General features: G+C 48.1%; 1 long non-coding RNA gene across 1 annotated transcript, besides 1 other annotated feature; it reads right to left on the bottom strand.

Moving 5' to 3' along the window:
• Window positions 1-3,805: 3,805 nt before the first annotated feature.
• LINC01548 (long intergenic non-protein coding RNA 1548) lies at window positions 3,806-8,572 on the bottom strand. Its single transcript, NR_024102.1, has 4 exons — window positions 8,477-8,572; window positions 8,032-8,169; window positions 6,779-6,917; window positions 3,806-4,027 (listed from the first exon to the last, which is right to left on the bottom strand). It is a non-coding gene; the product is annotated as a long intergenic non-protein coding RNA 1548 (long non-coding RNA).
• Window positions 7,784-7,853: an enhancer, noted in NCBI's record as "active region_18367". NCBI's record gives its function as "activates an Ori minimal core promoter by ATAC-STARR-seq in GM12878 lymphoblastoid cells {active_cell/tissue: GM12878}" and the evidence as "EXISTENCE:reporter gene assay evidence [ECO:0000049][PMID:35858748]".
• Window positions 8,573-9,954: the final 1,382 nt, after the last annotated feature.

Below are 9,954 nucleotides of genomic sequence, written 5' to 3' on the forward strand. Positions count from 1 at the left end.
GTGCAGTGGTGCAATCTCGGCTCACTGCAACCTCCACCTCCCGCGTTCAAGGCGCGATTCTCATGCCTCAGCCTCTCAAGTACCTGGAATTACATGCCTGGCTAATTGGTGTAATTTTAGTAGAGATGGGGTTTTTGTCATGCTGGCCAGGCTTGTCTCGAACTTCTGGCCTCAAGCAATCTGCCCTCATCAGCCTGGGATTACAGGCAAGTGCTGGGATTACAGGCGAGTGCCACCGCGCCCTGCTGATCTCTGTCTCTCTGTCTCTCTCTCTCTCTCTCTCTCTCTGTCTCTCTCTCTCTCCTGCTCCCACCATGTGAGATGCCTGCTCCCCTTTTGCCTTCCTCCATGAATAAAAGCTCCCTGAGGCCTCGCCAGAAGCGGATGCTGGCCTTACGCTTCCTGTACAGCCCGCAGCACCATGAGCCAATTAAGCCTCTTTTCTTTATAAATTATCCAGTCTCAGGTATTTCTTTATAGCAATGCAAGAACAGCCTAATACACACCAACCATGGCAGGTTCAATGACAATTGAGAAGACACATCTCCCAAATAGATTAACTGCAAGACACTCAAAAATAGGGTCCATATTTTGCATGTATTTCCATTCATTTAAATCTGGGTTATTAAAATAAAAGGATAGGATAAAATACTTTGAAAGAATTAAAATGATTTCACCCAGTTAGCTTTTCCTCTGTGAGTTCAGAATTGAAATAAGACTCCATTCCCATTATTACTTGCAGCCCATAGGCACACATTTGTAGTAACTCCAGCTCATTCCAACAGAATTGGAAGGAACTGCTGTGAATTTTACAGAAGTCGTTGCTCTGTGACAAAGTTCACGGCTCCCTGCACCCCCTGCCTCCGAATCCCACCAGAAGCCATCATTCCTGATTAAAGCAAGCACTGTCAATTTGGCCGCGGCCCGGGCCATTCCAATCCCCTCTGAAAACATTGCCAAAACAGATTTCTGACTGGGTCACGTTAGGTCACAATATCCACGGGTGGACAAAATGTAGTAAAAATTTTATGGGCCACTTGAGACATAGTGGATCGGCACGGAACAAGCCCTGTCCAAAAGAGCGCAGTTGGCTTCAAGTTCTTTTGGAAACTCCCCAGCATATGGAAACCTCCCCAAGATTCCTCTGGCCTCCTCAGCCGCCTGCTGCCCCCACTCCCAGCCCTCCTCTTGTCAGCCCAGACGGCGGAGCCTACTCTCTTTCAGCTTCAGGCCTCCGATGGAACAAAGGAAGTTTCACAGTGGGTCTCTCTCCTTTATTAAAACCAGCAAGAGCTCTTCAAGGAAGAGAGGGTGGGTGTTGGGGGTATGGAAAGCAGAGAGACAGTGATCTTTCCAGAAACTGTGATCTTTATCAAATGCCTATCAGCCTCCGACAGGTATGAATTAACTTTGAGGAATGATATATGTGTTTGTATAAAGATATGTATGCACATCCCACCATGGAGGGCCCTGAACATCCCTCAGAGAGATTTAGATCTGATCCTGATGGTGCTGAGGAGCCACTGGTGGTCTCTGAGCAAGGGAGCAAACTGCTCTCAGTTTTATATGAGTTCTGAAGCATCATCAGCTCCCAGACATTGCAAAACAGCTCCCGAAAGCCACGAATGGTCTCCCCACACCCCTGAGGATAGCCTGGTGGAGGCTTTAGTATGGAAACCAGAAATACTTACTCCTAGTTAGTCCTCATTCTATTATTACGCTGGGCCATGGGCCTCTTCTCTGAACCTCAGTTTCCTCATCAATGAAATGGGAAGAATTGTTTGTCATGTACCCAACCACACACATAAGCAAGCTAAAAAACATTTTAAAGTGATGTCTGAAGGAATGCTATTTATGGCTTAGGCATCAAAAATCACTTGACATGTCTTCAGAAAAGAGAAACTTGCCAGGTCCTCAGTTTCAAAAGGAAAGCCTCCAACTCCTTGAGAACTGTCCAAAGAAAGACAGCTTCCCCCACCACTGATGAACTGATTGATCAGCAGAGAAACTTTCTGTTTTTAAAATGTTTTGATGTAGGGTGCAGCATATTATATATGTAATATCCAAATACCATATTTATATATGATTTGGATATAATATACACATGTGTAATACATGTTATATATCATATGTAATATATAACATATATGTAATGTATGTGTGATATACATATATATAAAATATCCAAATTTTATATACGTGTGTGTGTGTGTGTGTGTGTGTGAACATTCCAGAAATGGTGGCAAGAGTATCTCCCATCTCACCTGATCTTCTATAATGGAACTTTGATGCTCCTTCTACCGAGAGGAGAGGTCTATGCCCACTCCCCTTGAATCTAGGCAGCCTTATAACTTGTTTGCAGCCAGTCGTCAATGATGGAAGCGATGCTGCATGACCTTTAACACTGAGTCCTTAAAGGTGATGTGGCTTCCCTGAGACACCATGCCATGAAGGGGCCCAAGATGCGGCCATGCTGTGAGGAAGCTCAAACAATCTGACCCAGAAAGCCCTCCTGGAGAGGCTTGTGAGAATACACAGACAGGGAGAGATGTACAACCAGCCCCCGGCTACTCTGGACCTCTGATTTCTAGTTCTAGTTACCTTCTGACTACAGCTACATGATGGACCCCAAGACAGAACTGCTCAGCTGAACCTTTCCTGAATTCATGACCCACAGTAAGTGTGAAAGATAATAAAATGATTGTTGTTTAAACCACTACATTTTGGGGTGGTTTGTTGCACAGCAAAATGTAACTGGAATAAATGGCAAGGCAACAGGTTGATACAAGGCCCAGGAACGGTTACTAGTTTGAGCCTCCAGGGATACTGCCTGGCTCAGTCTTCTCAACCAACCACCAGAAGCTTCTTCTCTCTATGCTTCACATTTAGCAAAATGGCACACCCTCCATCCAAGCCAGCATGTGAGCCTCCTCCTTCCCAGTCACTTAAATGGACTCCTCTGCCCTCAAGAATCAGCACCCATGAAATGGCAACTTACTATCATCTTCCCCATCTACCTCCACCCCAAAGCTTAGAACGACGGACCTCAGCCTTAGTGCCTAAAAAAAATTACCTAGGATACCTCTACCCCTCCCTAACTCTACCCAGATTCTGATATAGCAGGTATGGAGGAGAGCCAGGTAGTTCTGCCCGCAGGTGGAGACATTTATTCCAAGAAGGTCAGAACCCAGAATGTGAAGTGCCACTTTGCCTGGAATGTAAGTCTCAAATGTCTTCTCCAAGGAGCCCTGTTGAGGCTGGCAGCTCCTTTCACCCTCATGACAGGGATTTTTTTTTTTTTCTGGATTCATTCTGAAGCCACAAGCTTTTGGTCTCCCATGAAAAGTTTTTTGCTATGTTGGATGGAAATCACTGCTCTGATGCTAACCGTGGCAGAGGCATGAAAATTCAGAGCTGAGAGCATCCAATGGCTCTCCCATGACATCTGGGATATCTCTGGCTGAAAGCTGGGGAAATGGGGTCACCAACTGCTCCATTAGCCTACTTTGGGTGGACCCTCCCCTTCCTGACCCTCACAGCGTCCGGCCCCCTCACACCAGTTATTGTGCAGAAGGAGATTGTCCGTCCTTCCAGCAGAATGGAGCCCAGCAGTGCTCACCCCTTACCCATGGTCCGGCCACCACGTGTGGCTCACTCTGTCCTTTTCAGGGTTCATCCCAGAACTGGAGCTCACATTCCCAGAAGGCTTTGCTTTTCAGGCTTTTCAGGTTATCGCCAATTGAGGCTAAATGCTCTGACGTTGTGTCTTTGACGTGCCAAACTGTTCACTTGTTCACTGGAAACATGTAATATATCTCATACTTTATGTAACTTGCTTTTGGTATTCCTTCTTTTTTTTCTTTTTTTATTTTCTTTTTTGCCCCTAATATTTTGAGACCTTCAGAAAATCAAAGCAGCCCAGGTCTTGCTCAAGTTCTGATTCTGAGCTGCTCCGGTCATCATCACATATTTGTTTCCTGTATACGGATTCTTACTTTTTCTTTGGCTATTTTGATCCTGACTCCACCTGTGAGAGATAATAAAATGATGATAAAAAGATTTAAGCTTGCTGAAGGTAAGGACCTGGCCTCCTTCTTGTATCCCCCAAAACCACCTTGTTCACAGAGCCCAGGGTCATGCTAGTGCATGACCACACCACAGAGTGATTTTATTTTTATTTATTCTATTATTACTTTTCTTTCTCAGACAGGGTCTGACACTGTTGTCCAGGCTGGAGTGCAGTGCGTGATCTACAACCTTCTCCTACTGGGCTCAGGCAATCCTCCCACCTCAGCCTCCTGAGTAGCTGGGACCACAGGTGCACGCCACCATGTCCCAGCTAATTTTTGTATTTTTGTAGAGACGGGTTTTCGCCATGTTGGCCAGACTGGTCTCAATCTCCTGGGTTCAAGTGCTGTGCCTAACTCAGCCTCCCAAAGTAGTGGGATTCCAGGCATGAGCCACTGTGCCCGGTGGGTTTTCTTTCTCTTTTTTCTTTTCTTTTCTTTTCTTTTTTTTTTTTTCTTTTTTTTTTTTTTTTTTTTGATCGAATTTTGCTCTCGTTGCCCAGGCTGGAAGGCTGGAGTGCAATGGCATGATCTTGGCTTACTGCAACCTCCGCCTCCCCGGGTTCAAGTGATTCTCCTGCCTCAGGCCCCCGAGTAGATGGGATTACAGGCATGCACCACCACACCCGGCTAATTTTTGTATTTTTAGTAGAGACAGGGTTTCATCATATTGGTCAGGCTGGTCTCGAACTCCTGACCTCAGGTGATCCGCCCGCCTTGGCCTCCCAAAGTGCTGGGATTACAGGCGTGAGCCACTGCCCCCAGCCCGGTTTTCCTTCTCAACGAGCTGTATGGCCTCTCTGAACTTGGGTACCCTCACATGTATAATCAGGGTGATAATACCCGCTACCTGGTGGGATTGTGAAGAAAATTAAATATGATTCTGTGTGCAACCTACCTACCATAGTGCCTGACTCAAAGAAGGTGTTCAGTGAATCATAGTTCTTAGGGTTGAATTGTGTCCCCTCCAAAAATGATCCAGTGAAGTACTAATCTCCTGCCCCTGCCAATGTGACCTTCTTTGGAAATAGGGTTCTGGTAGATGTCATCAAGTTAAGATGAAGTCATTGTGGATTAGTGTGGGCTCTAAATCTAATGATGCGTATCCTTGTAAGGAAAAGGAAATTTGGAGACACACAGAGGGAAGAGGGCCATGTGACGACAGAGTCAGGAGGTGGAGTGATGGAAGCACAGGCCAAGGAATGGCAGGGATTGCTGGCCACCAGCTGCCAGGAGAGGCTGGGAAGGATAGAGGCTGTGCCTCCCTCCCTCCAGAAGCTGGAAGAGGCCAGAAAGGATGAAGGCTGTGGCTCCCCCAACTTCAGAAGCTGGAAGAGGCCAGGAAGGATAGAGACTGTGCCTCCCTCCCTCCAGAAGCTGGAAGAGGCTGGGAAGGATGGAGGCTGTGGAGGGTGCATGGCCCTGCTGACACCTTGATTTTGGACTTCTTGCCTCCAGAAATGTGAGACAGTGAATATCTGTTGTTCTAAATCACCCAGTTTGGGGTACTTTGTTATGGCAGCCCTAAGAAATGAATGCAGATTTTCGTGCTGGAAAGTGGAGTGTCTGTTTGGGATGAAAAAGAGAGGAGCCACCTAGACACTGGTCCAGGAGGCTAGTGCTAAGGCAAAGCAACCCACAGGCAAGGTCTCATCCCCTCTTGCCCGGGGCAGCTGAAGACAAATTCCACGTGCCTTCCTCCCCAGTGCTTCTCAGCAGCCTGCAATTCCATGGGACCACCGACCGTGACAAATGTGGCCAACAGAAAGCTTTTATTAATAGGAATTTAATTTAGAATTTAGTGCAAAAATGTATTTCTTGGCCAGGCATGGTGGCTCACACCTGTAGTCCCAGCACTTTGGGAGGCTAAGGTGGGCAGACCACTTGAGGTCAGGAGTTCAAAACCAGCCTGGGCAACAGGACAAAACCCCATCTCTACTAAAAATACAAAAAGTAGCCAGGCGTGGTGGTGCCTACCTGTAATACCAGCTACTTGGGAGGCTGAGGCAGGAGAATCGCTTGAACCCGGGAGGTGGAGGTTGCAGTGAGCTGAGATGGTGCCATTGCACTCCAGCCTGGGCAACAGAGCCTGACTCTGTCTCATATCTAGTTACCTCTAAATCTCCAAATACATATATAGATATATTTGGAGATATATCTATATCTATATCTACATATTTGGAGATTTAGAGTTAACTAGATGTAGTTTCTCTCCTGAAGGAACTCAGATAAACAGGGCATTGCTTCACAGAGGAATCAGGCCACAGTGGGGATAAGCAGAGCACCATAGCAGGGCACCAGCAATGGCCACAGATTATGCTCACATCAAGGCTTAAAGAACATGTGGACATCAGCCAGGCCAAAGAAGGTGGTGGCATCCAGGCAAGAGCATGACCAAAAGCACCCAGACATGAAACAGTGTGGCACGTGCACACAAACTGAAAGCAGCTTGGAGCCAACACGCTATTGAACAGGAGGAAGAAATGAAATATGAGGCAGGAAAGAGAGGGTGGGAGAGGCCAGCTGATGAGATGTTTCGTGTTCCATGCTATAGAGCTTGGAATTTATTCTGTAGGCAATGAGATGCTTCTTCTCTAGGACTTAAAGCAGAAAAGTGGCATAGATAGATTTTCATTTAATACAGACCATCCTGGCTAAAATGTGTCAATGGATTACAACAGAACAAGATTAGAGGCAAATCAACTAGGTACCTGCTGTGAGCAGTCCAGATGAGAGGTGGTGCAGCTGTGACTTAGGGAAGTGGTGCTGGATGGGAAGGAAGAGACTTGGGGAGTGTTCCAAGGGTGTCCGCGCTTGAGCTCCCCACAGAAGCAGGACCTGTGACAAGGGCTGATGTGCAGGCTGTTTAGGAATTGATGCCAAGTAACAGCAATGGGGGCTGGGAGGAGTGAAAGAGGGAGGTGGGCTTGGTGTGGTGGCTCACACCTGTAATCCCAGCACTTTGAGAGGCTAAGGCAGGAGAATCGCCTGAGGCCAGGAGGCCAAGACCAGCCTGGGCAACACAGGGAGACCGCATCTCAACAAAAAGTTTTAAAAATTAAAAATTTTAAAAATAGTGGGAGGAGAAAGAAGCATCCCAGTGTGGTGTTATTGGCCTGGTTACCTCCATGGGCTGCTGGGACTGGATCCCCTGGAGACCCCCTGAGGAAGCGTGTGAAAGATGCCTCAGAATTGTCCACCCAAGACATGGATGGAAGACAGATGAGCTCATCAGCTCCTGCCCCTATTGGTCAAAGTTTTCCCCCAAGGAAAGCCACCTCCCTTGAGCTTCCAAGTTTACACACAAGCCAGTATAGCTAAGCAAGTCCCCGCAGGCTTGGACAGAAAGCCTGCCACAGCAGATACCCACTGCCACAGCTGTCAGGTGACAGCTTGTTGCGGTTGTCAGAGCAACGCCCAGGAGCAAAAAAGGCGAGCCAGGTCAGGCGCAGTGGCAAACTCCTGCAATCCCAGCAATTTGGGAAGCCAAGGCAGGAGGATTGTTTGAGGCCAGGAGTTCAAGACCAGCTTGGGCAAGAAAGAGACCCCTGTCTCTACAAAACATAAAAAATTAGCCAGGCATGGTGGTGCGTGCCTGTGGTCCCAGCTACTCAGGAGGCTGAGGCAGGAGGATAGCTTGAGCCCAGGAGGTCAAGGCTGCAGTGAGCCATGGTCGTGCCAGCACACCCTAGCCTGAGTGATAGAGCGAGACCCTGTCTCTAAAAACTTAAAGAAAAAAACGGTGAGCCAAGAGCATGTGAAAGGAGCGTGAAAGGAGCATGAAAGGGAGGTGGGCAGAAGAAGCTGGTTGGATAGAGGAAGTGAAAGGAAGAGGCGCATTTGTACAGACAGCCGCCCTTCTGGACCGAGTAACCACGTGGAGAGTGGTTCTCCATCCACCCACATAGGACGCACAAGGAAAAGAAGAGGTTCCCAAAGATAAGGGATTTCATGGGGAAAATACCTCATCGAATGGACTGCGACCCTCAAGGGAAGATGTTCCATAAGCTCGGCGCGAGTCAGGCAGTAGGGAGAGGTCTTGAGATCACAGGTGAAGTGAAGGCTCCCAGGAAGGGTGATTGCAGGGCGAGGGCCTCCTGACCTGGAGACAGGGCCCCAAGGAACAGTCATACGAAGAGGGCAGAGGACAAATGAAGAGGGAGTGGACAGAAAGAGAAATGGGAGGAGAGCCATGTGCCAGGAGCCAAGTGATTTAAATGCAGGTGTAGTGCCCTGGAGAGTTCCATGTGTAAGAACAAGTAAATCATTGTTGCTTACCTCTCCCTTGAAAAAAAAAAAATACCCTGCTTCTTGTCCTAAGTTCCCAGGCTCTCTTTTTGCCTACTCCCTCCCCAGTTGCTGAGTCCAGTCAACCCTCCTGCTACAGTATCCCCTATAGCGCCATTCACCTGCCCTCCTCTGCTCCCTTGGCCAACATCTAGGTTCAGAACCTCATTGTCTCTCTTCTGGTCTGTCCTGCCTCCTCCTCCCTCTGCTGCTGTCCATCCAGGTGGATTTTCCTAAAGGGAAAAGGTGCACTTGAGGGCAAATTTCTCTTGGCCATGCACTTAGGAGGGGGATTTCTGGGTAAAGGGGTAAGTTCACTGCTTTTCTAATTCTCTACTTTTTCCTTATCCTCACCCATAAATCTTACAACCCCCTTGAAGTGCAATAACTTTATTTCTAGGACCTCTCAGAGCCTTTGCCTGTGCTGTTCCCACTTGCCGGGAATGCCTTTCCCTTCATCCCCAATAGTTCAAGCCCCACCTTTTCCTGAGCCCAGCTCAGATGCCACCCCCTCATCCAGGAAGGCCTCCTTGATACCTCCCTACCAGAATTAATCTCTCCTTCTCTTGTGGTCTGAAGACTCTTGGCTTTCTCCCCTGTCCTATTTTTGCTTGTTATCACTGACATTGCTTTACACGCTTTTTCTCCTCTGCTGGGAGCAAGGGCAGTTTCTATGTCACAATGCCCCACTATGCCCATTAAGCTACAGTGCACATGGTACCCATCCCGAGACCAACATTCTTTTTACACTTCTGTGCTTCTGACCTAGGAAAGTCTTACTTTTCATAGAGTGTCATAGCTGAGTTGGAAGCTCTTTTCTTAGAGCCTCTTAAAATAATGGCGTGCCTTATAGTCAATGATCTCTTACATTCCATTAAATACAGTAGGAGATGTTCAACCAATATTTGCTAAATTGGAGGAGTTAAAGTCATTTTGAGTAGGAGAGGGAATCTAGACCCACTATTTGGATTAGTACAGATTTTAGTGCAACTCAGGGCTTCTGCAGAGCCCCTCCAGCTTTCACCTGTCCACTTAGTTGATGATGAGCACGCCTGCGAACTCTTCACACTTTCCAAACCCACCAAGGCAGCTTCTCCCGTAAGGACATGTTTCTTACCTTCAAGACCCCTGTTGCCTCCAGCAGCAATCTCAGTAATGACGTCTACTTCTGTTTCCTGCTTCCTTCTCCCTGACTCCTGCTTCCTGGAGTCCCCTCAGATAAACCTCCTGTGCCCAAGACCTTGTCAGGGTCTGCATTTACGGGAACCCAACTAAAATTCCAGGACCACCATATAAAGGTCCCTTTGTCGGGGGCTGGGCCTGCTCTGGATACGGTAGGGAAGTGGCTCCAGGGTCTGCGGCCAGCGAGGAGAGGGTCCGGCAGTCACCAGTGGGAGCTGTTTCCTCCCGTATTCCTCCCACCTGTCCCTACCTGTCCTGCTGGCGGGGTAAAGAGTGGGATTTACCTCGTGACAGCTGCCTTACAGCCCCATGAAAAGGCACTTTGGGCTGCGGTTGGGGGGAGCGCATCTCCAGGGATTGCAGGGTAGGAGGACAAGAACTCTCCCTGGCCTGGGAGTCAGGGAAATGGAGAGATCAG

The sequence above is a fragment of the Homo sapiens genome, chromosome 21 (assembly GCF_000001405.40).
Source record: "Homo sapiens chromosome 21, GRCh38.p14 Primary Assembly".
NCBI classification, from domain to species: domain Eukaryota; kingdom Metazoa; phylum Chordata; class Mammalia; order Primates; family Hominidae; genus Homo; species Homo sapiens.